The sequence below is a fragment of the Homo sapiens genome, chromosome 1, assembly GCF_000001405.40.
Source record: "Homo sapiens chromosome 1, GRCh38.p14 Primary Assembly".
Taxonomy (NCBI): Eukaryota; Metazoa; Chordata; class Mammalia; order Primates; family Hominidae; genus Homo; species Homo sapiens.
In genome coordinates, this window is record NC_000001.11 from 54,163,084 (window position 1) to 54,190,990 (window position 27,907).

Here is a 27,907-nt window from a genome sequence, read left to right on the forward strand (position 1 = left end):
GCTCCTTCTTTAAGAGCCCTGGGTTTCTCCCGCCTCCAACCTGTCCACTTGTGTTTCCCCTCAGGCTGCTGGTCATTCCGGTCAGGGGAGCAGTGCTCCCTCAACAGGTCCTCCATCAGGAAAGAGGGCCAGCCAAGCTGGAGCTTGGAAAGCCCAGACACAGAAGCTGCCACACCCAGGCCCCTGGGCCTCCTACTGTTCACAGGCTCAGCAGGGAGCTCAGAGTGACAGCGAAGAGCTCAGAGAGAAGGGTGTGCCTAAGCTTTGGACTAGCAAAGCTGGAGGGGACTCTAGAGAGCAAGTCCAACCCCCTCTTCCTACCCCCTTTGCTGGCTGTGGAAACTGAGGCCCAGAGAGAGCAGAAAGAAAAGACAGAAGCCCACACTCACTGAGTGTCTACTGGGTAGCAGGCCGAGCACCAGACCTTTCACATTTGTTTTGACAGCATCTGCAGCCCCCAGGAGACGGTGGACTCCTCGAGTCAGGGTCCTCAGGAACTCAGCAGAAAACCTGCATAGAAGCAGGTGTTCGGGAATGTCTGCTGAACACCTGCATGAATGACTTATTTAGTTCCCAGAACAATCAACTAGGTAGGAATTACTATCCTATTGAGGAAACTGCAGCCCAGAAAGGAAGCAATTGACCGTTGCCTCAAATGCTGCTGAGAAATGAGCTCTGGATAGCAGGGACCTTATCGGGAGCACATGGGGTGGAGATGGGGAGTGGACACCAGGCTGCAGTGGGTTGAGGAATGAAGGGAGGGGAGGAAGCAGGCGCTGCAAGTTGTAAGCAGCTCTTCAAGGCAAGGTGGGAAATATGAGGGGGCAGGGGCGAGGCATTCTTCCCTGGAGGAACCCAGAGTAAGGCAGGCTGGTGCTGGGCTTTGTGGCATTACCATGGGGGAACTTGGACAGGCTTCAGAGTTGGCTGGACAGAGCCAGTAGAGATATTCTGGAGATTCCCTGGAGGAAAAGATCCATTTATCCAGAGGGCCAGGGATCACTGAACTGGGCAAGAAGGTTTGCTCCTTGCCAAAGACCCCAGCTCCCCTGTATTAGTCCGTTTTCATGCTGCTGATAAAGACATACCAAAGACTGGGAGAAAAAGAGGTGTTATTTATTTATTTATTTATTTATGAGACTGAGTCTTGCTCTGTTGCCCAGGCTGGAGTGCAGTGGCACGATCTTGGCTCACTGCAGCCTCTGCCTCCCGGGTTCCAGTGATTCTCCTGCCTCAGCCTCCTGGGTAGCTGGGATTACACAAAGCCAGCTAATTTTTGTATTTTTTTAGTAGAGATGGGTTTTTACCACGTTGGCCAGGCTGGTCTCAAACTCCTAACCTCAGGTGATCCACCCACCTCGGCCTCCCAAAGTGCTGGGATTACAGGCGTGAGCCAACGCGCCCGGCCAAAAAAAGAGGTTTAATTGGACTTACAGTTCCACATGGCTGGGGAGGCCTCAGAATCATGGCAGGAGGCAAAAGGTACTGGCAAAAGAAATGGGGAAGAAGCAAAAGCGGAAACTCCTAATAAACCCATCAGATCTCGTGAGACTTATTCACTATCACGAGAACAGCAGGGTTTGAAAGAATGGCCCCCATGATTCAATTACCTCCCCGAGTCCCTCCCACAACACGTGAGAATTCTGGGAGATATAATTCAAGTTGAAATTTGAATGGGACACAGCCAAACCATATCATTCTGCCCCTGGCCTCCAAATCTCATGTCCTCACACTTCAAAACCTTCCCAATAGTCCCTCAAAGTCTTAACTCATTTCAGCATTAACCCAAAAGTCCACAGTCCAAAGTCTCATCTAAGACAAGGCAAGTCCCTTCTGTCTATGAGCCTGTAAAATCAAAAGCAAGCTAGTTACTTCCTAGATACAACAGGGGTACAGGCATTGGGTAAATACAGGTGTTCCAAATGGGAGAAAATGCCAAAAAAAAAAAAAAAAAAGGCATTACAGGGCCCATGGAAGTCTGAAATCCAGCAGGGCAGACACATTTTAAAGCTCCAAAATAATCTCCTTTGACTCTAGGTCTCACATCCAGGTCACACTGATGCAAGAGGTGGGTTACAATGGTCTGGGGCAGCTCCGCCCCTGTGGCTTTGCAGGGTACAGCCTCCTTCCCGGCTGCTTTCAAGAGCTGGAGTTGTGTGTTGTCGTGTCTGCAGCTTGTCCAGGTACACGGCGCAAGCTGTCGGTGGATCTACCATTCTGGGTCTGGAGGACGGCGGTAGCTCTTCTCTTCTCACAGTTCCACTAGGCGGTACCCCCAGTAGGGACTCGGTGGGGGCTCCAACTCCACATTTCCCTTCCACACTGCCCTAGCAGAGGTTCTCCATGAGGGCCCCGCCCCGGCAGCAAACTTTTGCTTGCGCATCCAGGCGTTTCCATATATCCTCTGAAATCTAGGTGGAGGTTCCCAAACCTCAACTCGTGACTTCTGTGCACCCACAGGCTCAACACCACGTGGAAGCTGCCAAGTGGGGCTTCCATTCTCTGAAACCATAGCCCAAGCTGTCCATTGGCCCCTTTCAGCCATGGCTGGAGCAGTTGGGTAGGGCACCATGTCTCTAGATTGCACACTGCACGAGCACCCTGGGCCCGGCCCATGAAACCACTTTTTCCTCCTGGGCTTCCGGTCCTGTGATGGGAGAGGCTGCCGTGAAGTTCTCTGACATGGCCTGGAGACATTTTCCCCAAGGTCTTGGGGATTAACATTAGGCTCCTTGCTACTTATGCAAATTTCCATGGCTTGAATTTCTCCTAAAAAATGGTTTTTTGGCCGGAAGTGGTGGCTGACGCCTGTAATCCCAGCACTTTGGGAGGCCGAGGAAGGTGGATCACGAGGTCAGGAGATCGAGACCATCCTGGTTAACATGGTGAAACCCCGTCTCTACTAAAAATACAAAAAATTGTGAGGCAGGAGAATCGCTTGAACCCAAGAGGTGGAGGTTGCAGTGAGCCTAGATTGCGCCACTGCGCTCCAGCCTGGGCAACAGAGCAAGACTCCATTTCAAAAAAAAAAAATTTTTTTTTCTACTGCATCATCAGGGTGCAAATTTTCCAAACTTTTCTGCTCTGTTTCCCTTTTAAAATGGGATGCTTTTAACAGTACCCAAGTCACCTCTTGAAAGCTTTTCTGCTTAGAAATTTCTTCCACCAGATACCCTAAATCATCTCACTCAAGTTCAAAGTTCCACAAATCTCTAGGGCAGGGGCAAAATGCCGCCAGTTTCTCTGCTAAAACATAACAAGAGTCACCTTTGCTCCAGTTCCCAACAAGTTCCTCATCTCCATCTGAGACCACCTCAGCCTGGACCTTATTGTTCATATCGCTATCAGCATTTTGGGCAAAGCCATTCAACAAATCTCTAGGAAGTTCCAAACTTTCCCACATTTTCCTGTCTTCTTCTGAGGCCTCCAAACTGTTCCAGCCTCTGCCTGTTACCCAGTTCCAAAGTCACTTCCGCATTTTCGGGTATCTTTTCAGCAACGCCCCCCTCTATTGGTACCATTTTACTGTATTAGTCCATTTTCACGCTGCTGATAAAGACATACCTGAGACGGGGAAGAAAAGCTTTAATTGGACTTACAGTCCCACATGGCTGGGGAGGCCTCAGAATCATGGCGGGAGGCGAAAGGTACTTCTTACATAGTGGTGGCAAGAGAAAATGAGGAAGACGCAAAAGTGGAAATCCCTGATAAAACCATCAGATCTTGTGAGAGTTATTATCTACCATGAGAACAGCATGGGAAAGACTGGCCCCCATGATTCAATTACCTCCCCCTGGGTTCCTCCCACAACACATGGGAATTCTGGGAGATGCAATTCAAGTTAAGATTTGGAAGGGGACACAGCCAAACCATATCATCCCCTTAGAGGGAAGCAGGAGAAGGGAATTAACATTCACTGACACTCCCCTGTGGGCTAGGCACTGAGCTGACCACTTGGTTCACACAATCTCCTCTACTCCGCAAAGCAGCCCCGGGAGGAAAGAACCAGCATCTTCATCTGACAGAAGAGTGGTCACCAACTCACGGTCACACGGCTTCCACCAGCTCACCCCTTCCTTCAACAGACACTGCCTCCACACAGTGGCCAGCCAGACATCACACTAGATGTGGTCATGGGGTGGGGAGGGGATACAGTATCGAGCCCTGCCCTCATACAAGAACACCACTTTCTCCACTAGCTCCTTTACCTCTTGCTTATCAATTTCTTTGCCTATAAAATAAAGAAGCTGCTGATCCCTAAGGATTGTGAGAATAAAGCAAAGTGACATAGCAGACACTGTTGATGTGCTTATCCATATCCCCCGCCCAACTGGAGGTAACTGCGGGAACTTTTCTATGTGCACTGATGGCTTCCTGTGTGTCTCTGCCTGGGGGCTTCTCTGGCTGCCAAACACTTGGCCCACCCAGAGGAAGCTGAAGTGCCAGGAGTTCATGTTCTCGGCCAATAAGGAGTCTGGTTGTCGGTGCATAAATGCCCCAGCTTCTCCATCCCTCGGTGGGATCACTGAGGCATGTTCCACACAGTCTCTTGGCAAGGCCCCAGCAGAAAGAGCTCCGGGTGCCACCAGGAGTAGCCTGTCCATCCACATGCCCTTCATTGTCTTTCCCCATGACTTCCTCACCATGCTTCCCTGAAGCACCTCCACATAAACTTCTTGCACCCACATCCTTGTTCAGCGTCAGCTTTGGGGCAAACCCAGCCTAAAACAGTAACATTTTACAGCCTGGTACCCAGTAGACACTTAGCAAATGCTGTCTACCTTGACACTCATTTTCATTTTTATAGAAACAGACAGCTTTGAGAACACGGTTGCAGCTCTAGCTGAGTCACCGGTGGCTCATCAGCATCTTCCAGGAGCAAGTATGGGCCTGTGGCCTGGGGATGCAGCAAGAGGGAGGGGACTGAGGGCCACGGGCCTCAGCCTGTAGCCTCATGGGTCTGTAGCCTCAGCCACTTGGAAGCTAGGTTAATCTCTGTCATATACACACACTCTACAGTTTATAAAGTTGTTTTCTTGTGTTCCAGGGCCTACATCCCATTTTCCCTCCATTGTTCCAAATCATATGTTCCAACTCAGGGTTCTGTGTTCAACACATTAGGCTTCAAGCCTAATGTGCCAAATGCTCTGCTTGTTGCAAATACACCCCTCCTCCTCCACCACCACCACCTCCCTCTCCTTCCAGGTTCCGTTGGGGTCCACCAGGCTGGAGGTGAAGTTCCCCTGCATCTGGGCAGAGGAGCTGATATGGCTCACCTGCCTTCTAAGCTGGCTGGTGAGGCCCACCAGCCGGCCCATTGTGCCCACCTGGCCATGATTTTGAGTGCTGGGACCAGGTCAAGGGTGTCACCTTGCCCCGCTACAAGTTAGTCTGCTCTATTAGCATTGGGAGCCAGGGGCAGGACGATGTGGTGGTCTCCAGCCAGAGCCTGTGGGACCTGCATGCAGACAGCTTTCCCACCTCCCACTATGTGAACCCACGCTCTTCTGCGTGGCACTGGTGCATGACATCTGTTTGGAGTGAGCCCTGCAGGATGAGGCCCACGTGGGGCCCCACATTAGACCCTGGCACCCAAACCTCAGCCTCCAGCCCATCAGTCAGTGATCCCCTGTGAAAGCAGCACCTACCTGGGCAACCCCAGCAGCTTCCATGACTCATGGTCCATTAAAAAAAAGAAACAGAGTAAGATGCACCTACGTTTCCCCTCCTTGGGCCACCTGGGCCACACACACTGCTGAGCTCCTTTGCCTCTGGCTGGAATTATGTCAACCACTGCAGCTCCCAGCTGGATGTACAGATCAGAAGCTCTGAGGGGCAGCTATCTGTGTCTTTGATTAATAAAAAATGGGAGATAAATTAATAATGACTTAAAACATGCAATTTGGGATCAAAATCTCCCAAAGCATGGGAAAAATAATAAAAAGGAGAGTTCTTGATAGTGAAAGTCTGGAAATAAATGCTGTCCTCAGAGGTCAACCATGAGTCAGGGCACTGTTGGGGAGGGAGAAAGAAGGGGGAACGGGGTCTTACACCCACTCCGTGCCAGGTGCTGTGTTTGGGGTTTACACATTTCCCTCATCCTCACACAACCCCAGGAGACAGTGTTACCATTCCCATTTTATAGATGAGCAAACTGAGGTTCACAGAGCCCAAGTTACTTGCCATAGGTCACAGGATCAGTAAGAGACTCAAACCTAGGTCTGCTTCCTTGACAAAGGAAAACAAAACGACAAAAAAAGAAAGAAAAAAATAGGCCAACAGTGTGGTGCTTGGCAAGTCATTCTGGTTTGAGTTTATGAGGAAGAGGGACAAGTAGAGGGAACAGCCCATCAGCTATGAATACCAGGAATGATTTATATGATTTACTGCTGTGTCTCCTGCACCTAGAATGGGGCCTGGAACACAGTTCATGCTCAGAAATAATCTTCAGTGAATGGCTAAAATGTGTGGGGGGATAAAGAGGCATAGTCCATTCTGAGGTAGGAGAGAGAAAGTGAATGTTTCTAAGCCCCTAGTTTCTAGAGAGCATTGAACAAGCACATTGGATTTTTTTTTAAATGTTTAATTATGGAACTATTTGAAAAACAGAAAAAGGTAGAAAATAATATAGTAGACATTGGGGAACTCATTGCCCAGATTTACCAGGGGTTCATATTTTGTCATGTTTATGTCAAGTATTTTTATAGTAAAATACAAATACAGATATGGCTAAAAACCCCATCACCCCATCCCATTCCCTTCCACCTATCACCACAGGCCACCACTATCCTTGAAGCTGGTGTGTCTCTGTCTCTTCCTGAGCATTTAGCATTATTTTGGGTTTTTACAGTTTCCAAGTACAGGTATCTCACTGTAGCTATCCTTTCACAATGTACATTTCACTTAGTTATTATGTTTTTAGGACTTCGTCTATATTGGTACATGCGGATGGAGTTCACTTTAATTGCTGTATCTACAGGCAGTTTTTAATTCCTTGCTATTTCAGAGAATGCAGCAATAAAAATCTTTTTTTGGGGGGCACTGAGTCTCGCTCTGTCACCCAGGCTGGAGTGCAGTGGTGCCATCTGGGCTCACTGCAACCTCCGCCTCCTGGGTTTAAGCAATTCTCCTGCCTCAGCCTCCCAAGTAGCTGGGATTACAGGTGCGCACCACCATGCCCAGCTAATTTTTCTATCTGTAGTAGAGACAGGGTTTCACCATGTTGGCCAGCATGGTCTCAAACTCCTGACCTCAGGTGATCTGCCCACCTCAGCCTCCCAAAGTGTTGGGATTACAGGCATGAGCCACCGCACCTGGTCATCAATAACAATCCTTTTATTATTTTTTTTAAGATGGAGTCTCGCTCTGTCGCCCAGGCTGGAGCGCAGTGGCACAATCTTGGCTCCCTGCAAGCTCCGCCTCCCGGGTTCACACCATTCTCCTGCCTCAGCCTCCCGAGTAGCTGGGACTATAGGCGCATGCCACGCCTGGCTAATTTTTTGTATTTTTAGTACAGACGGGGTTTCACCGTGTTAGCCAGGATGGTCTCAATCTCCTGACCTCGTGATCCACCTGCCTCGGCCTCCCAAAGTGCTGGGATTACAGGTGTGAGCCACCGCGCCCGGCCCAGTAACAATCTTTATACACATCTCTGGTTGCACTCATGTGTCACACACAACCTTTACCACAATCACATGCTGGAACTTGTGTATCCCTACATGACCTTGGAAAATCGCTTGAAGTCTCAGAAGCTTAGTTTCCTCATCAGTAAATTGGGGTAATAAAATAGCATGTATATTGGTGAAGATTCTTGCTTCAAAGTAGAGGAAACACCTTTTGCCACCTGGAAAGCACTTCCTGAACATTAGTTGTTTATCGCTCAGGTATTCGACATCCAGGAAGTGCTGAGCATCCTCCCCTGTTAGGGGTACAATGGGCCGGCCCTCATGCTCACATGCAGATGACACTTATGGGTACAGCGACAGAAAAGCACACAAGCCTCTCTGCTCACTGACCAAGCTGGAGTGGAAGAGACAGGCGAGGCTCCCGGGAGGAAGTGACACTGAGCTGAGACCTCAAAAGATGAGGAGGCAAAAAAGGTGAGTGGGAGATCGGAAGGTGGGAGGCTGGCCAGGCAGAGGAAGCAGCGAGTGTAAGGGATGAGCTGACGCAAGAGAACATGTTTGGAGCCTGAGAGGTGGGTGTGAGTGGGCGGTGGCATACAAAAAGTCTGGAGAGGTGGCAGAGCAGAGAGGCCCTACCCCAAGGCCACAGGGAGACAGGGAAGGATTTCAAGCAGGGGAGTGACAGGCTTGGATTTGTGTGTGGGGAAAACTGGTCTGGTCTCAGCGTGGAGGTGGCATGGAGACTGGGAGCTGGGAGACCCATGAGGGGAACACAGAAGTGACGTTGGTAAACATGGTGAGGGCTGAACTAAAGCCAATGCCGCTTCTGCGACCAAGAATCTGTCCTCAGGCCCTCTAGTAGCTGTTGCCTTCCTGAAGCTTGGGATGCATATGCACAAAGAGAGCTCTGTGTGGCTCACAGATTGTGGACACCTGGTTGACCTCTTGATGCCTGCGTATCATGTCTAGCTCCTAAGTCTCCCTTCTCCTACTACAACATCACACGGTGGCCACGCCTCCCACAACACGCAGTGGGCATCATCAGAGGAACAGCAGCTGATGGGAACCATGCCCCCACAGCTCCAAGAGGTCTGAACTCACACACCACACCCCACACTCTTCTTCTTGGGCTTGCTCAGCACCTTGTGGGGCACAGCACCCGACCCTGCACTCTCAAGTTTCCAGGCGACAGGAGCCCTTTAGGCTTCTTGGCACCAAGGGCACGGCTGGGTCCCCACCAATGTCCCATGATAAGAGATGCCACCAGCAGCCAGGCTGCACAGAACCTACACGGAGTGAGGGGAAGAGGAGGCCAACACATTCTAGGTTGGTTACCACTGGGTGGCCTTGTATAATATCTAAATATCTAAACATCTAAAATGAGACAAGGACAGAGATACGAGAACTGCCCCGGACTCTCTACTCCTTAAGTGGAGACCCCCTTAACACTCTTTTTGATTTTATTATTATTATTTTGAGACAGGGTCTTGCTCTGTCACACAGATTGGAGTGCAGTGGCTCAATCACAGCTCACTGTAGCCTCGACCTCCTTGGCTCAAGCAATACTCCCACCTCAGCCTCCAAAGTAGCTGGGACTACAGGCGCATACCACCACATAAGGTTAATCTTTTTTTTTTTTTTTTTTTTGTAGAGACAGGGTTTTGTCATGTTGGCCAGGCTGGCCTCGAACTTCTGGGCTCAGGCAATCTGCCTGCCGCAGCCTCCCAAAGTGCTGGGATTACAGGCATGAGCCACCGTGTCCGGCAACACTCTTAATATGAGTGACTTCAAAGCTTTTGAAGCCTCTATCCCCGCTGGCAGTGGTGTGCCCCTGGGCTCTCCCTAGACTAGGCTAAAGCCCCTGCCAACCACTCTCCCAGCACCCTGCACTTACCTTTTCATGACACCCATCACTTTTAGACTTACAGGTTGAATTGCTGCCTTCCTTGCTAGGCTGTAAGTTCCCCGATGGACATAACTGCATCTGCCTGGTGTGCTGTTGTTTCCCTGGTGTCTGAACAGAGTCAGGCTCCTGACAGGCCCCCGCTATTTGGAGCTGAGTCAATAGGATGTGCAAACTGAGGGAGAGGAAAGGGTGGAGGAAAACTCGCAGACCTCAGAGGCCTGGGGAGAGGAAAAGTGTCTTGCTCAAGTCACATACTAGGCAGGAAGAGATCATGGTTCCTGCTCAGAATCTTTGACTCTCAGTCAGGGCCTTTCCCACTCACTATACTGTGCTAGAAAGAGGCTACGAAACCCACAGAAAAGTGTTCTATAGTTAAATAAGCTTGAAAAACTCTGGATTAAACAAAATGAAAGGAGTTTCTTTGCCACTGGTCTTTTCAGGGCCTTTAACATGCTCCTGTGCCCGTGCTTCTGGAAGAAGGTCACACACAGTACTCCATGCTCTCTGACCCTGGAACTCTGCCTGTGAGGCGGTCTGAAACCTCCAGCACCACCCCCCAGCTATGTGTCACAATTATTTATTAAATGTGACACAGCAGAGAGATTTGTTGCCATTTTTTTTAGTGGCTAGGAAAATCCTTTTGTACAAATAAAAATAATTCAAAACCCCAATATATGAATGGGATAAAAATGCAGCTGCTCTGGTTGAAGGGGGTACTGGGGATCCATCTGGAGCTGTCCTTTCACTGCTGCTATGCAAAGAACCCTTGCTTCCTGTAGAGCGCAGTTCGAAAATCACTGATGCAGAATTGGCACATGAGGTTGAAGCTAGGAGGCTTCTAGTGCTGGCTCTGCCATGGACTGTTTTACCCTGGGCAAGTCATTTAGTCTCACTGGGCTTCAGTTTCCCGTGTATACGATAAGTCTGTCACACTGTATGTTTCTTAGAGTCCTGAACTTTCAGCTTTGATATGGTGAAGAGTACATTTCTATGACTATAAAAGTCTAACTCTAAGATTCCATGGCTTAATATTCCAATTCTGGGACTGCCTGTAGCTAGCCCAAGCTGGTGCAGCACGCTAGAGCCCAGGCTGTTGAAGGCAGAATTCATTAACTGCAGTGCGCTGCCCAGGGGCACTGGGTTCCTGGGATAGGGGTGCCAGGTTCCTGGGGTGGGTGGACCGTGATCGGCAGCCGCTCAGTGGGACAAGCTGGGAGAGGGACCCAGGTCTCCTGACTCCTGCTCTATCTTTAGATCTCCATAGCAACCATCACCAGGGCACCAAGCTGAAGGCACAGGCTGAGTGGCTGCCTGCAGGAGGAGGGAGGGGCGTTTCCTTCCCGTGCCTCTTCTTTTGCTAGGCTCGATTTTTGAGCCAGGAAAGGGGACTGAGAATGAAGCTGTTCACAGCAAGAAAGGCTTGGGGCCAATACAAGACAGTCGAGGGCCCCACCTTGCTCTCAGGATGTGGTCAAGTCATAGAACCCAAGACCTTCATGTGTCAGGCTCATGGCACTGGAGGAAAGGCAGAATCCTCCTCCAAAGAGCTCTAAGCCTCTCCCGTGTCCTTCCCTACACACTCAGGAGCCCCTAATCCGAGATGGTGCTGAGGCCACAGTTGGAGCCCCCATTAGATCCTCTAATCGGAGGGGCCAGGGAAGCTCCTCCCGACTCTTCCCCTGCCCAACTCCTACTCCTCCTGGGGCTCAGCCTGGACTTGGCTTCCTCTGAAGAGTCCTCCCTGACTCCCAGGCTGGTTGCTCACCTCCTCAGGGCCCCTACAGCCCATCCTCCTTCTACATAGTAGGAGGCCAGGAGGAGTGATTAACCTCATGGGGCAGATGAGAAGTAGAGGTTCTGAGCAGTAAAGACACTTGCCCAAGGTCACCTGGCAAATGAGCAGCAGGACCAGGCCTGGACTCCGTGTCTTCTGATTCCAGTCTGTGCTCCTTCCTGGGTCCCAGTAGCAGGCTCATGGCCTAGGCTTTGGAAGAGAGGCCAGGGCTAGAAGAGGAAATAGGAGTCCTCAGTGAGGCCTGCGCACAGTAAGCACCTGGCTATGTCTTTGGTGAACTCAGCCGAGCCACAGACCAGTGCGAATGGCTTTCTCCGACAGCAGCTGACCAGCTCTTTAATTAGGTCCTGGCCCAGGTGGCCAAAGTGGGTTTTCTCTTGGTAACTCCAGGGAAGCTGCTCTGAGGAGCTCTCCTGGGAAGACAAGAAAGGCATGGGTGACTACAAGGGAGCGGGGGGTCCTTAGTGTTCACACAGCCAGCTCTCCTCTGCAAAATGAGGAAACCAAGGCAGAGGGTGTAGGAAGCCAACCTATATCCAGGCCCACCATGGGCCAGGCATTTCCTCCTTATCTCCAAAACAAGCCTGTGAGAACTATCACCCTCCCACGACAGCAGAGGCACAGGGAAGAGGGACTTCCCTGTGGCACACAATGAGGCGGGGGCAGCAGCAGGACCAGAACTCAAGTCCCACCATTTCTCACTGCCTTCCAGCAGCCACACCTGTCACTGTGGGACGGATGTTTTCTCCCCTGACTGTGGGTTTCCCAGAATCTTTCCAAGGTTAGCTATCATCATCACCCTCGGAGCATAACTTTTGCTCATTTCTTTTAAGGTTTCAATGAACATATTCATTTAGCAGATATTTACCAAGTGCTTATTCTGTGCCAGGCACCGAGCTAGCCACTGGGGATATGGCAGCTGCTCAGAAGAGACAAGGGTCCTGGCTGCATACAGCACAGATCCCAGGTCACAATGCCTTCACTGAGAAAGGCTAAGCTCGCATTCCAAGGCTGGACGGTGACCCCACGGACCCAGGATCCTTCTCTCTGCCCTTCTAGCCTTAGCTGCAGCTTTCCTCCTCAGGGTCACAAAATGAAGGCTCCACTCCCAGGTGACTTGAAGGAATTTCTTCTATTTTTTTAAATGAACATTTTATTGGAGTACAACATATGTGTAGAAAAGTATACAAATCATTAAGTATACAGTTAGCCCTCTGTATCCATGGGTTCCACATTTGTGGATTCAACCAACTGTGGATTGAAAATATTTTTTAAAAAACATTAAAAAATAACAATATAGCAATAGAAACACACAAAAAATACAGTATAAGAGCTATTTACTCAACATTTACATTGTATTAGGTATTATAATTTAGAGATAATTTAAGTCACATGGGAGGATGTGCATAGATTACATGCAAATACCACACCATTTTATATCAAGGACTCGAGCATCCTCAGATTTTGCTATCTGCAGGGGGTCCTGGAGTCAATCCCCCATGAATACCAAGGGACAACTATATATAGTCTGAAGAATTTAAATGAAAAAACCATCTTACAAGCCCACAAAAAAACAAAATCCAGAACAGAGCCATCACTCTGCAGATCCTATGAAGGCAAGTTGCTAGTTCCTGGGGCTAGGCACAAAGACAGGATTGGTGGGGAGTGGAGCTCCACTGCCACTTTCCTGCTGAGTGACTGTGACCTCTCAGGATCATGATTGTGAGGAGAGTATCCACTATGGAAAGCCACTGTCCAGAGAGCCGTGGTGCTGGTGTAAGCCCTGGGAGAGGCCCTGTGAGGAGAGGCCTCTATTCTGAGGCACACTCAAAGGGCCCTGGAGGCAGGTGCAGTGGCTCAAGCCTGTAATCCCAGCACTTTGGGAGGCTGAGGTGGCAGGATCGCTTGAGCCCAGGAGTTCAAGACCAGCCTGGGCAATGTGACAAAAGCTGGTCTACAAAAAATACAAAAATTAGCTAGGGGTGATGCTATGTGCCTATAGTCCCAGTTGCTTGGGAGACTGAGGTAGGAGGATCATCTAAGCCCAGGGAGGTTGAGGCTTCAGTGAGTTATGATTGCACCACTGCACTCCAGCATGGGCAACAGAGTGACACCCTGTCTCAAAACAAAACAAACAGGGTCCCCTGGAGCCCCACCTCACAGAGTCTGTGCTGATGAGGGGGATCCTCTCTGATGATCTGGCATTTCCCAAGCTCCCACTATGGTCTGACCCACCAGATGGGGCCTTGGGGCCCACTGGCCTCACCTCCCCTTTTCCACTGCTCATTTCCCTCAGACCACTTAGGTTCAGCTCAGCCTATCCCACCATGCACCCTGAGATGCCCTGGGCCTGGCTGCTGGTGAGACGGATAGGGGACCCCACAAACAGTGACGGTGCAGCAGGTGGGTGCTGTGAAGGAGAGCCAGGGTGGTGGCAGCAGAACCATCAAGGCCAGCCTGGGGGCTCTAGGAAAGCTTCCAGGATGGACTTCTACCTCAACAGGGATGTGAGGGGTACAGAGGTGGGAGGTGAGGAAAGGAGAGCACTCCTGGCAGGCAGAATGGCGTGAGCAAAGGCCCAGAAGCCAGAAAAGCACAGCACACTTGCAACCATAGGCAGACCCATGACATCAGGCCACAGCTCACGGGGAGGGCGGGCTAGGAGATGAGGCCACAGAGGGAGGCAGTTCCCAGGCATGGACCTCATCCTGTGAGCAGTAGGGAGCCAGGCAAGGGCTAGAAACAGGGTGGTGGTAGGGTCAGATCTGCCTTTAGGACTGCAGGAGGCAGGACAAATCAGCAGGGAGTGGCTGGTACGGGGAGACTCTTGAGGATGCTGCAGCTGTGGCCCAGGCAGGGGAGAGAGCACACTGAGTCAAGAGAGTGTGTACAGGCAGGAGCCACCAGTCACCCCCTTCACCTGCCACTGATGGCCAGCCCACTCGCTTGCCCAACCCCAGGCCACTGGCACCACCCTGGCCCAGCTGGGGACTAAAAATCTTCTATTGCTGGTGAACTTTAACGGAAATGCCACCTGCTTGGTAAAGCCATCCCTGACCCTGCCTGGCCTCTACCCACCACTGGCATCCCGAACATCCTCACAGCACCTTGTGCTGTGCTGCCTTATTCTGAGGAGCACTAAGACCACAGCCTTTGAACAGGACCTCCTGGGTTCATACTCCACTCTCCACTAACTTGCTGTGTTACCCTGGGCAAGGTTCTTAACCATTCTGTGCCTCAGTTTCCACATCTGTACAAGGAGCATGATGGGAGTATAAGCCTCATAAGATTGTGGTGGAGATTAAATTAAATAAAGTGCTTAGAATGGTGCTGGCTACAGAGAATGTGCTGAATGAAGGGGAGTCCTTTTCAGCCGTCTCTGTGGCTGTCACCCATAGATAGGTGAGCAGCCGGAGGGCTGGGAGTGGGTCACCTTCACTGTTGTGTGTCTGACACCTGCCACATTCTCAGGCGACAGAGGAGGGAAAGCAAGGCTGGCCAGCAGCTTGGGGACCCTCTGCCAGGTGCTGCCTTCCTGCCCTCCTCCCAGCATCCTTGTCCAGGCTCTCAGGCAGGCTGCCCATGCTGCTGGGCAACAGTGGCCCATCCCTCGCGCCCACCCCTTGGGCTGCACGCTAGCCTTTGGCTCCATTCTCATTCCTTGGGCACTTTCCGCTGCTATAAATGTTCACCACGCTCTCATGTCATGCCACTGAGCATTCTGCCCCATGGACAGGCCTGCAGAACCCAGCCCCTGGGGAGCCCAGGGACCCTTATATTGGGACGGGAAATCCAATTTCCTCACCCTCCACACCCAGCTACAATGTTGAGGATCAAGTAAGTGTTTAGGGACTACATAAAGCTGCCTCATAGCGGGACCAGATGAGAATGGTACCCCACAGCACCGGGCAAGAAGGCTGACCCTGAGCACCAGGGAACACAGGGGGCCCAGCAGGAATCCCAACCCAGAGGGGACAGGAGGGAAAAGTGAAGCTACCAACCAGGGAAAGGCAGGCCACCAAAGGTAGCTGAGGGCCTGGCTTGAGATGAGGGGCAGACAATCCCCCATGCTCTAACCTATGGGGGTGGCCCCAGAAGGGTTACCTGAGTGAGCGGAGGGGATGTGGAGTCAGAGGGAGGAGGGGTCAGCAGGGAGAGTCGCTGCCAGCTACGGCGGGGTCCTCCTATGGAGGGACAGGCTGAGGTGGGAGGATACTAGCAAGCACAGGGAACTCAGATCAGTTTACTCCAGCAGTCACTAATGGAGTCCCTGTTCTGTGCCTGGCATCATGCTAAGCACTGAAGAGAGAGTGCTGAGGCAGACATGTGGTCTCCACCTCAAGGAACATCACTCAGTTGGAGGGAGGTCTGCAGCCTGCCCTGCCCTCTACAGCCAGGCCCCTGCCCATGTAACTGATGATGCCAGAGGGCGATGGGAGGCAGTAACGCATGGGGTGAGAGCCAGAGCTCAGCAACCAGACAGCCCTGGGCTCAAATCCTGGCCTCAGCCCTGTCCAGCAGCGTGAGCCGGTGGGCAGCTTCACCCACTGAATGTGCATCTCCTCATCTGTATAATGAACATGAGAACACCTGCCTTCCATACAGGTGGGTGCTCCACCAGTGGCAGGGATTATGACCACAGCATCCATTGCCAAAAGAGGCTAGAGCTGGTCCTCAGGACAGGTGCAAAGGGACAGCAGAGTCTCAATCAAAAAAGAAAGTCACCACCCTGGGCTCACCTGGCTGAGTACAAAGAAGGTACGGACATTCCAGAAACGGGCCTGCTCTTGGAGGAAGGTTTTCAGGTAGATGCTCTCAAAGGTCTTGAAGCAACCGACCAGAGTGACAAAAGTCTCGTCATTCTCATTGTCTGTGATGCTCTGCAGGATAGGCACCATGGGGGCCAGGCCCGTGCCCGCAGCCAGCAAGAGGAGCTCACCATACTGGGGAACAGAAGGGGTATGTATGACAGGTGGGTTGGGAGAGTCTCACCTTATCCCCTCTACTATGGGACTTTTCCTTGAGCTTCCTTCAACTGGACGGCAGTGCCCTTCCTTGGTGTCCAACCACCTATGTCCCCTCTCTACCTCCTCCAGAAAGCCGTCCTTGTTTGTGAAAGGCATGTGAGGTTTGGGTAATGGAGATGATGGGATATGGGGACTGAAAGGGAACATAACAGTATAGCCCATCCTGTAAGTGGCCTGGTTGCCTACTAAAGCATCCCCACAAGGACTCTGCTTACATACTTCTACTGACAGGGGGCTCATTACTTCCCAAGGCAGTTTGCTCTACTGTAGGCCAAATCCTTTGCCAGGGAGGTCTTTACAACTTACATTGAGCTGAAACCTGCTCCCATCAAAGCCTTGCCCACTCCCAATGCCATTCCAGCCCTGCTCTCTGGGCTGCTTCCTCTGCCCCAGGGTACCTCTGCAGAGATCTCAAGGGCCCACCTTGGACCTCTGAGCTTGCTCATCTCTAGGCTAAATGAAATAATATGCATAAGCATGTAGCACAGCACTGGCACAAAAGAGTCACTTGAAAAAGGTGAGTTCCCGGCCAGGAGTGGTGGCTCACACCTATAAACCTAGTACTTTGGGAGGCCAAGGTGGGCGGATCACTTAAGGTCAGGAGTTCGAGACCAACGTGGCAAAACTCCGTCTCTACTAAAAATACAAAAATTAGCCAAGCGTGGTGGTGCACGCCTGTAGTCCCAGCTACTTGGGAGGCTGAGGCAGAAGAATTGCTTGAGCCTGGGAGGCAGAGGTTGCAGTGAGTCGAGATCATGCCACTGCACTCCAGCCTGGGCAACAGAGCAAGATTCCATCTAAAAAAAAAAAAAAAAAGGTGAGTTCCCACCCCAGGAGGTCCCAGTTCCATCAACTCCTCCTCACTGAATCTATTTCCAGGCTCTAGGCCTCTTAAAGAGGGGTGAACCTCTGTAATCCCAGCACCTTGGGAAGCCAAGGCAGGCGGTTCACGAGGTCAGGAGATCGAGCCATCCTGGCTAACACGGTGAAACCCCATCTCTACTAAAAATACAAAAAATTAGCCAGGCATGGTGGGGTGCGCCTGTAGTCCCAGATATTCAGGAGGCTGAGGCAGGAGAATGGCGTGATCCTGGGAGGCGGAGCTTGCAGTGAGCTGAGATCGCGCCACTGCACTCCAGCCTGGGTGACAGTGCGAGACTCCGTCTCAAAGAAAAAAAAAAAAAAGAGGGGTGACCCTCTTTAAGGTCAGTGCCTTAAAGTTTAGTACCTGAGTGATGCAGGGGTATTTACCACCCTCATTCTAGAGATTAGGCCTCTGGGTATAAATCCCCAACCATGTGATCTGGGCAAGCTCTTTCACCAATATAATCCTCAGTGTCCTCACTGGTAAAAAAAAGAAACGCACTTCCCCATAACAGCACCTATCTCAGAACTGTTACCAGGATTAAATGAGATGAAGAAAAGTGCTTGGTTGGCTGGGTATGGTGGCTCATGCGTGTAATCTCAGCTACTCAAGACTGAGACAGGAGGATCGCTTGAGCCCAGGAGGTTGGGGCTGTAGTGAACCATGATCATGCCACTGCACTCCAGCTGGGCAAGAGTGAGACCCTGTCTCAAACAAAACAAAACAAAACAAACAAAAAAGAAAACTGCCTGGTGCAGATCCAATTAGATTCCTCCCCCTCCCTAAGCTGCTGAGACTCACGCCTGGCAGCTGTTGCTGTGTCTGTGCTCTCTCCAGCCTCCAGGCCTTCAGCTTGCCATGCTCCTCTGCCTCCTCCCATCCTAGCTCGGGCTATCCTTTGGAGGGCCTTTCCCAAGCCAGGGCAGGGGAGGCTCCTTTCTTTGTGTTTCCACAGCTCCCTGTGAGTCCCTCTGAACCACACTGGCCACACTGTGCTGCTGTCACCTGTCTGTGTGTCTGACTCCCCCAGCAGACTGTGAGCTTCTGGAGAACAGGGGACTCATCTGACCCATCTCTAGGTCCCCAGAGTCCCCTGGCCCTGGGTGAACACTTGTGTCTGTTTGTTGAATGAATGCACAGACAGATGCTAATATGTCAGTCTTCAGGGCTGATGTAATATCCATCTGTAACGAAGACGACTGCAGAGCAGCAAAACAGGGCCCGGAAGAGGGCAGGAGCTTCCCAGACATCCTCGTGTGGTGAAACCAAGGCTTACTGAAATTTCAGTGACCGCATATTAAGGTGTGAGACACCATTTCTTTTTCCCTACCATCAGGCCCTACAGCCTCCCTAGCTAAGAAATCCAGGAGCTGGACACGGTGGCTTATGCCTATAATCCCAGCACTTTGGGAGGCTGACGTGGGAGGATCACTTGAGCCAAGGAGTTTGAGACCAGCCTGGGCAACATGGTGAAATCCTGTGTCTACAAAAAAATACAAAACTTAGCTGGGCGTGGTGATACACGCCTGTAGTCCCAGCTACTTGGGAGGCTGAGGCAGCAAGATTGCTTTAGCCCAGTAGGTGGAGCTGTAGTGAGCTATGACAGCACTCCAGCTTGGGCAACAGGGAGGGAAGGAGGACGGGAAGACAGGAAGGCAGGAAGGTAGGAAATAAATGCAGGGCCTTTCAAGTATTCCGTGCATGTGAAGGAGCAGCCACAAGGCATTGGGAGGCTCCACCAGAAAAGGCGGTCAAGACAACGTTCATCTGTTATCCACTCTAGACAAGGAGGAAACACAAACGATTTCCATTCCCTGCTCTCAAGCATCTGGGGGATGCAGGGTCTAAAATGCAAGGCTAAGCATGGTTAGTACTAGAAGAATACTATGGAATAGTATTAACATATGCATAGCACATATCTGTAGAATGGGGTTGTAGCACCTAAGAGCTGCTGTGAAGACTATGTGAGTTACCATATAGCAAGTGCTAAGGTCTGAGCCTGGCACACATGAGGTGCTACACGTGCTTGATATTATTATACATATATACTACACATGTGCATGCAGTGTGCATTTGTACATATACTCATGTGGAAGAGGATTTGGAAGGATATACACCAAGCCATAAGATGGGTGTGTCTGGGTAGAATGCCTGTGAGTGTTTTTTCTTTTCTTTTTTTTTTGTCTCTTTCCATCTGCTGATTTTTGGGTAATGAACATGTACTGCATTTATAAAAGGAAAAAAAACAATAAAAGCTTTTTTTTTTGAAACAGAGTCTCTCTCTGCCACCCAGGCCAGAGTGCAGCGGCATGATCTCAGCTCATTGCAACCTCTGCCTTCTGGGTTCAAATGATTCTCATGCCTCGGCCTCCCAAGTGGTTGGGATTACAGGTGTGTGCCACCATGCCTGGCTAGTATTTTTTGTATTTTTAGTAGAGACAGGATTTTGCCATGTTGGCCAGGCTGGTCTCAAACTCCTGACCTCAGGTGATCCACCCGCCTCGGCCTCCCAAAGTGCTGGGATTACAGGCGTGAGCCACTGCGCCCAGCCAACAAAAGCTATTTAAAAATTAAACAAAAAGAATGGAGAGGAAGGCATGATTCATTCTTTTCCATTTGTTTTCATTTTGCTTTGTTTTCCTAATCATAAAGTAATAGGTGTTCGCTGCAAATGATTTAGAAAGTATAATGAAGAAAATAAAAATCACCCATAATTTCACCACCCAGAGCTGCTAACATTTCATTGCATTTTCTTTTCATATTTTCTCTGTGCATTTTAACTTAATTTCCCAACCTCCTGTATATTCAGTTTTGTACCTAGTGTTTGTCACTTCATCTTACAGCATAAGTATATAACATCATTTATAAACAGAACTTTAAAATCCAGGATATTATTCTATCAAGTACCTGTAGCCCGGTTTACCTAACTGTTCCCCTGCTGTTGGATATTCGGTTGTTTCCAATTTTCTGCTATTATAAATAAAGATGCAATGAACATACGCAGAAGAGCCAGCATTTTGATTCATTCTATAGGACGGACTTCCATAAGTGGAATTACTGGGGCCAAGGATTTGAAGACTCTTGGTACATACTGTCAAAATGCTTTCCAGATATGCACCAACTGATGAGAAATTACGAATTCTTACTGGGAAAGTCGGGGAAGGGTTTAAAAATGCCAGGATGATGAGGAGAAGAGCCATCTGAGCTAGGAAGCAGGAAGCCATGGGGCATATTTAGTCATGTGACTGTACTGTGAAATTGGAAAGGCGCCTGAGGGTCAGAGGGCATAAGGGCTCCTAAACGTCAAGTACAAGGGTCTGATGTTCTAAGCAATGGCCGCCCTGGGTAGCTTTGGAGCTGGGCAGGCAGTTTCATTTATAAGTGTCTACTCTGGCTGGGCGCGGTGGCTCACGCCTGTAACCCCAGCACTTTGGGAGGCTGAGGCGGGCAGATCACCTGAGGTTGGGAGTTCATGACCAGCCTGACCAACATGGAGAAACCCTGTATCTACTAAAAATACAAAATTAGCCGGGTGTGGTGGCACATGCCTGTAATCTCAGCTACTTGGGAGGCTGAGGCAGGAGAATCGCTTGAACCTGGGAGGTGGAGGTTGCGGTGAGCCGAGATCGCGTCACTGCACTCCAGCCTGGGCAACAAGAGCGAAACTCCGTCTCTAAATAAATAAATAAATAAATAAATAAATAAGTGTCTATTCCATCTTCTCCCATGTCCAACCCCAAGGATACACCTGGGATTGTGTTTGAGCTCAAGGAGAATGGCACAGTGAGATGCTATGGGCCGAAACATGAAAACCACAGTCAACAGGGATCTCCTGAAGATTTAAGGTGCTGGCACTGACCTGGTTTGGTTTATAGAAGAAATCTCCGAAAGGTCCTCGCCAGAAAGCTGTGTCTCCTACTCTCCAGGACTCAACATACCGGGACATCAGCCCCATCTGGTAGCACTGGAAGCAAACACAGGGAGACGTCAGCGGGACAGGTACATGCTGCCAACACAAACCAGATTAACCATTAATGTGGAGCCCGTTCTGTATGCTAAGTGCTTCACATGTGTTATCTCATTTAATCGTCCTCCTTATCCTACAAAGTTGGTACAGCCATTCCCAATTTTCAGATGAGGCCCAGAAGCTTACACAGAAGGCAGACAGGAGGCTGGGATGAGAATCCATAGGACCTAAAGCCTTCAGCATAGAGGTCCCAAACCCAAATGCCCACAGGGACCATGCAGGTACCATAAATGAGTGAAGAACTGGGTGATGATTAATGGCAATTAACACACAGTCTCAGCATCAGGGAGACAATAGGGAGTGATGGGGACTATGATAAATTGGTGAGCGAGTGCTCCTTCTAAGGAGGGAAGCCAGTTTGCAGGTTTCAGTCCATAGTTTGTGGGGCCTAATTGGCCAAATCTATTGATTTTCCAAAAGAGGCACGAAATCCATATTTTTATTTAAAATCTCCCATTTTTGAAATGTCTGCAATTAATTCAAAATTTTAAAACTCTATGCTGGCCAATACCAAATACATCTATGGGCTAGATTCAGGCCACCCATCTGCAGTCTCTGCATTATCCTACACCATCTCCTGGCTGGATGAAAAATGAAGGTTACAGAAGTGATTCCTCCATGGAGAAGGGAGTCTATATTGCCTGGGTGCCTGTCCACTCTGTGCCAGGCACCATGTTGAGGATGCAGGCAAGACAGCTAGATCTTAAGCTCCATGAAGGCAGCCAGTGCCTGAACCATGGAAGTAACTTAATAAATACCTGAATGAATGAATCAATCAATCAATCCAGATTCAGGCTCTCCCCTTAAGGAGCTTACAATCTAGAAGGGACCTAAGTCTCAGACATATACAAGGTAGAGACCATCTAATACCCATGAGAAGAATAAACTAGGAATAAACCTGAGAAGGCTGCAGCCACTTCCATGGATGGGATCGAGGATGGCTTCCTGGGGGAGGAAGCATTTGAGTTGGACCTTGAAAGATGGGCAAGATGGAATTCACTGGGGATGGGAGCAGGGGTGCAGAGAGGACTCTGGACATCAGGTGTAGTATGGTCAGGGGTAGGACAATCTGGGTCATGTTTTGGGAATAGCAAGTGAACATGGTAGGGTGAGGGTGAGGGCGAAGCACTGGGAGACAGGACTGGAAGGGTGTTTGGAGTAAGATTATAGCCAGGCTTAACACAGAGAAAGGGCTTTGGTCCCCAGACCTGTTTTTAAGCACCCATGGCCATCTCTGATATCATCCCTGACTTCCTTGGGCACCACCTGCACAAGGCAACGGAAGTCCCTGGCTCAACTGGAAGGGGTCTAGTAGGAAAGGTGAGGTTTTTCTCCTGCCTTGCTGGAGGCTGTCTCCATGCACGCTTTGTTTTCTGGCCCCTATCTAGGGGGAGGCATGACCCCAGCTGTGGCCTTGACAGCACCCAAGAAGAAGGGAAGGATTCTTCCATGTTGTCTTTAGTACCCTGATATGGTTTGGCTGTGTCCCCACCCAAATCTCATCTTGAATTCCCATGTGTTGTGGGAGGGACCCAGTGGGAGGTAAATGAATCATGGGGGCAGGTCTTTCCCATGCTGTTCTTGTGATAGTGAATAAGTCTCATGAGATCTGATGGTTTTACAAAGAAGAGTTTCCCCGCACAAGCTCTCTTCTTGTCTGCCGCCATGTGAGATATGCCTTTCACCTTCTGCCATGATTGTGAGGCCTCCCCAGCCATGTGGAACTGTGAGTCCATTAAACCCCTTTCTTTCATAAATTGCCCATTCTCAGGTATGTCCTTATCAGCAGCGTGAAAACGGACTAATACATACCCACACAGAGCCTGGCACAGAGTAAATGTTTAATACATACTTGTTAAACAGAACTGACACTGAACTTTTGTCCTTCCATTTGGATCATATTACCCAAGAGGCCTTGAGACAAATGATGTCATCTTTTTGAGCTTCAGTTTCTTCATCTGTAAAATGGGAATAATATGACCTACTCTATAGGTTGGTTATGAGGTTGAAATGAGATAATTAGAATAAAGAGACAGAGGCAGTACCTGGTGCCCAGAAGGTGTCTGAGAAATGGGAGCTTCTCCTTCCCTTCTACTTGGGAGGGTCAAACGATAAGCCCTGCCTGCCTTCCCAATTTGCAAAGACATTTCTGGCTTTTCCTAGCCAGTGGCTTAGAGATAATTAAGCATCTCTCTAAAGAGAGGCTTTCTAGCAAACGAAGGAGAAAATCAGCCTTGCAGCTGGGAGAGATCCAGCTGCCCTGAAGAACTGTCTCCAGGCTTATCCTTTCCACAGAAACACACCCCGACAAGCAGCCTGGGGAAGCAGGCCATTTGGAGAGGATTTGTGGAATCTCCCAGACAAACAGTTGCATGAAGAAGGGATCCCATCCAAGCTTATGTGTGGAGGAATAAACACTCGGGCTCAGACGGCAGGTAGGAAGGCGGGAGCTGGAGGCAGTGCTGAGGTCTCGGTGTCAGGGGGCAGGACTCACCTACTAGCAGCACTTCTTACTAGCTGTGGGGCCTTGGGACCTCTGGGGGACTCCGTTTACTTATCAATGCAATATAGATAATAAGTCATGTCTTATAACATAGATTAAGGATGTGAACACTATTCTTAAATATTCGTAATGATTCCATTTGGGAAATGATGATCTAGAGCTGTGTATTAGGTTGACCCACATGAAGCTGATGTTTCTTTAAGTCAAAAAAGTTAGAATATCAGCAATTTCATGTAGCTCAACCTAATTATTCTTTCCACATAATTGGGCCTCCACAACTTCTTATATATTTGTTTCCTATTCCTTGGGTCTCCAGGGTGTTTTGCATCCAACCTACTTTGTTCATCTCATATCTGCCAATTCCTCCATCCACCCTGCCTTCTCCACCAGCACCCTCTCCTCCTGGCTCTCAGGCTGGGTATAGTTCCTAGAAGACTTGTTCTATTTCACCCCTCCCAACCTTTGGTTAACCATCCCCTCAGCCTAGAATGCCATTTACGGCCACTGCCAATTTGTACTCCTTCTTCAAGGTCCAACTCAAATGCCCCGGTTCTGCCCACCTCCCCTAAGAGGTGATGTTAGGTTAGTCCTGTCTATAAGCTCCTCCATGTCCTACCTCTTGCCTAATCCTCTCAGATTGCATCCTGCTCCCTTGGCACTCCTTCCTTCTGTTCCAGGACAAAGGACTTACTTCCCCAATTGCCTTTGTCCATGTTGTTCCCAGCACTGAGTTTCCTTCCCACATTTTCCCTTTAGCTCTCCATTCTTAGACCCATAGCTTCTCCACGGCATCTTGGAGCATCCTCAAGGGTCAACTCACCTTAATTAACACTTCAAAGTATCCTTCTGCGTTGGCAGGGCTGATGGGCGTATAGGCTCTCTGAATTTCTAAGTCATCTACTATCCCTCTGAGAAACAGAAGTGTGCAGTCAGTCAGCCAGTCATTCAGCAAACCCTTTTAAGGCTGGGCACGGTGGCTCATGTCTGTAATCCCCACACTTTGGGAGGCCGAGGTGGGCTGATCACTTGAGGTCAGGAGTTTGAGACCAGCCTGGACAACATAGTGAAACCCGTCACTACTAAAAGTACAAAAATTTAGCTGGGTGTGGTGGCTCACGCCTGTAGTCTCAGCTACCTGGGAGGCTGAGTCACATGAATCACTTGAACCCGGGAGGTGGAGGTTTCAGTGAGCTGAGATCATGCTACTGCACTCCAGCCTGGGCAAATAGAGCAAGACTCTGTCTCAAACAAACAAACAACTGCAAATCCTTATGAGGTAACTCCTCTGCCAGGCTGGTGAAAATAAAGGTCCTCACTGAGAGGCAGGCAAGATGCAACAGAAAAAAAAGAGTACTGGGCTCATCCACTGCCACGTGCTGGCTGTGAGATCCCAGTAGATCATCTCATGCCCCGTGGCCCCTTTTGTAAAATGGGGACAGCTATCTGCATTCCAGTTGTGTGGCTCCTCTGGGACTACAGATGGGAGAGTGTTTCAAAAAGTGCACTGAGGATGTGAGTTGTTTTGGAGACATGACTGTCATTTTTCCTGACCTCTTCCCGACCACAGAGTGATAAAGACTAAAACAACTGCTAACATTTATTAAACACTTACTAGCACCTGACAGAAGCATTAGGACTGGAAGGATCCTCAAAGGGCCCTGGTCTAAAGCCCTGTCTCATGCATGAATCCTCTCCATGTTACCAAAAACAGGGTCAGGATAACCACCATGAGTCACAGTAATAGCCATGGTGTATTAAATGCATACATGTATCAAGCATTTCATATGCATTATCTCATTTAACTCAAACAACAATCCAAATGAGGAATCCAGTGCTTAGAGAAGGGAAGTCACTTGCACAGCTCAAATTCAATCACAGCTCTAACTTCAGAGCTGGGTTCCTCACCACTGTTCTTCAGAGCTTCCCAGAAGCTTCCCTAAGCAGTCTTCTCTCAAGTCCTACTACGTACAAAACTTTCTTCTCTGAGGTATGCAAAGATTAAATAAGGCCCTGTCTCAATGCACCAAAAGCATGAGAGGGCTGGACAGAAATATTTAATAAATGCATATGAGGCTGGGCGTGGTGGCTCACGTCTATAATCCCAGCACTCTGGGAGGCCAAAGTGGGCGGATCACGAGGTCAAGAGATCGAGACCATCCTGGTCAACATGGTGAAACCCCATCTCTACTAAATATACAAAAATTAGCTGGGCATGGTGGTGCATGCCTGTAGTCCCAGTTACTTGGGAGACTGAGGCAGGAGAATCACTTGAACCTGGGAGGCGGAGGTTGCAGTGAGCTGAGATCATGCCACTGCACTCCAACCTGGGTGACAGAGTGAGACTCTGTCTCAAAAAATATAAATAAATAAATAAATAAATGCATATGAAACAAATGGGGACCTAAGGAACAGAGCACAGAGCATGGCTTGGCTGCAGAGCACTATGACGTCTGCTGCAACAGAGGTAAAACTGGTATGTTTTAGAGGGAGTGCGCAGTCTCCTCTGGGAGCCTAGGAAACCTCCTGGAGGTGGGTGCTGCAGGATAGGCCAGCCACTGACAAGGGCAAATCGGGACAGGAAGGGTGGTGGGAATGGGGCGTGGAGCAGGAGGCTGAGACCAGGGCAGGGGTGGGTTGGCAAAGGGAGAAGAACATGGTGGGAAAGCAAGCTGGGGCCTTGGGTTAGGACATCATTACGGAGGCGATGTGGTACCTCAGATACCTTCTGGGGTGCTACATTGCCTCCATGCTGCACCCCACAGTGACATGGTCAGATATGTGTGTTAGGGATGTCACCGCAGGGACAGAGAGGGTGAAGGAGGGGAGCCAGCCTGGAGGCAGGGAGTTCTGAGCATTCTGGTTCATGGATGGAAGGATGCCTGGGGCCATGACCTGCCCTGTGGCCCCTCCTGCCCACTGGGATAGTGAACTTCTAGGACTGCTGGCCAGGTCACAGGCCAGAAGGAGCTGGGCACAAACACCAGGGGCCAGTGTGAAGCAAGTGGCCAGAGTCTGAGCAGCAGTGAGTGCTCTTCTGGTTTCCACCTTCTCCTCTGGCCGCACCTTGCTTCCTTTGCTGGCTCCTCCTCCTCTTGCCAATACCGTAGATGCTGGTGTTTCCAGGGTTTGGTCCTGTGCGCCTTTCTCTTTCCATGCACACATTTTCCCAAATGCCACTCAGCTATGTGCCAATGACTCCCAAACCCATGCCTGCAGCTCAGATCTCTCTACTGAGCCTCAGATTCACAGAGCCAACAGCCTGGCAGACAGCTCTACCTGGACATCCCAAAGGGTCTTGTCTCTGGGCAGGCAGGGGTGGGGACTGGGGTGGGAGTAGAGTGCCTAAGTAGGCTGGGAGGAAGTAGGAACCTCAGAGGAGTGGTAAAGAGCGTAACTCAGGAGCCAGGCTGTCTGGGTTTAAATCCTGGCTCCGTGACTTATTAGCTATGTAGTGCTGGGCAAGCCCTTTATTCTCAATTCTATCAATTGGTACTAATCATATTAGGTTCATACCACAAGCTCTAAAGCCACATTGCTTGCCTTCAAATCCTGGCTCCAACATTTCCTAACTGTGTGACCTTGGCAAGTTTCTGGACCTCTCTTACTTCAATTTCCTCTGGGGTATAACTGCACCTACCACACAGGATTTTGTGAGGGTTAAATGATTTCATGCCTATAAGCACCCAGAACTGTGCCTTGGATAGTAAATGCTATTAAAGTGATTGTGTTATTATTTATTATGAAAATGCATTATCTAGTTCAATCCCAAGAACTCTCTGAGTCATGTGTCACTATGTCTATCTTGAAGATGACAAATGGAGGCTTAAGGGAGAGTACGCTAGTTGGTCAAGGCCAGCAGCTAGCAAATAGCAAAGCAGGGCTGTGAAGCTTTGGTCCTCCCGCTACCTGAGTGTACCGTAGGATGAGGTGCTGGCCGGGCCGCAGGCCAAGCTGGCTGTTCCCGGGTAGAGCAAACCGGACACGGTAGGTGTCCTTAGTGAGCCTGTCCATGGCAATGATGCAGAAGGCCACGAAGGTCTCTGGGTTCAGCTTGGAGGGGCAGCTCTGCAACAGGAAGAGATCCAACAGCTAGAGGCCGGGGCTCCACAGACACACAGGCATCCATAGCATCCTTCCCACTGTCCCCAAGGAGAGGCTG

The 27,907-nt window shown here is 49.9% G+C and overlaps 1 protein-coding gene across 5 annotated transcripts in view, besides 3 other annotated features; it reads right to left on the reverse strand.

Moving 5' to 3' along the window:
- Positions 1,957-2,458: an enhancer, noted in NCBI's record as "H3K4me1 hESC enhancer chr1:54630713-54631214 (GRCh37/hg19 assembly coordinates)". NCBI's record gives its function as "activates a minimal SCP1, AML or CMV promoter by ChIP-STARR-seq in naive H9 embryonic stem cells {active_cell/tissue: H9 hESC(naive)}" and the evidence as "EXISTENCE:reporter gene assay evidence [ECO:0000049][PMID:30033119]".
- The window catches only part of CYB5RL (cytochrome b5 reductase like), a 30,380-nt gene continuing 9,040 nt past the window's right edge, over positions 6,568-27,907 (reverse strand). Inside the window, exons 4-8 of one of the 5 annotated variants that reach the window (NM_001031672.4) lie at positions 27,665-27,813; positions 24,569-24,656; positions 21,078-21,182; positions 16,066-16,269; positions 6,568-11,739 (exon numbers count right to left, since the gene is read on the reverse strand). In NM_001031672.4, the coding sequence (NP_001026842.2) occupies positions 11,536-11,739; positions 16,066-16,269; positions 21,078-21,182; positions 24,569-24,656; positions 27,665-27,813 (750 nt within the window). In that variant the 3' untranslated portion in view covers positions 6,568-11,535. Of the gene's footprint in view, positions 11,740-16,065; positions 16,270-21,077; positions 21,183-23,069; positions 23,204-24,568; positions 24,657-27,467; positions 27,814-27,907 lie in introns of those variants that run through there. The other 4 variants (NM_001353354.2, NM_001353353.2, NR_148414.2 and 1 more) reach the window with 4 other exon arrangements.
- Positions 17,680-18,180: an enhancer, noted in NCBI's record as "H3K27ac hESC enhancer chr1:54646436-54646936 (GRCh37/hg19 assembly coordinates)". NCBI's record gives its function as "activates a minimal SCP1, AML or CMV promoter by ChIP-STARR-seq in primed H9 embryonic stem cells {active_cell/tissue: H9 hESC(primed)}" and the evidence as "EXISTENCE:reporter gene assay evidence [ECO:0000049][PMID:30033119]".
- Positions 24,002-24,215: a silencer, noted in NCBI's record as "fragment chr1:54652758-54652971 (GRCh37/hg19 assembly coordinates)". NCBI's record gives its function as "represses an EF-1alpha promoter that drives an FKBP-Casp9 reporter gene in an ReSE screen in K562 erythroleukemia cells {active_cell/tissue: K562}" and the evidence as "EXISTENCE:reporter gene assay evidence [ECO:0000049][PMID:32094911]".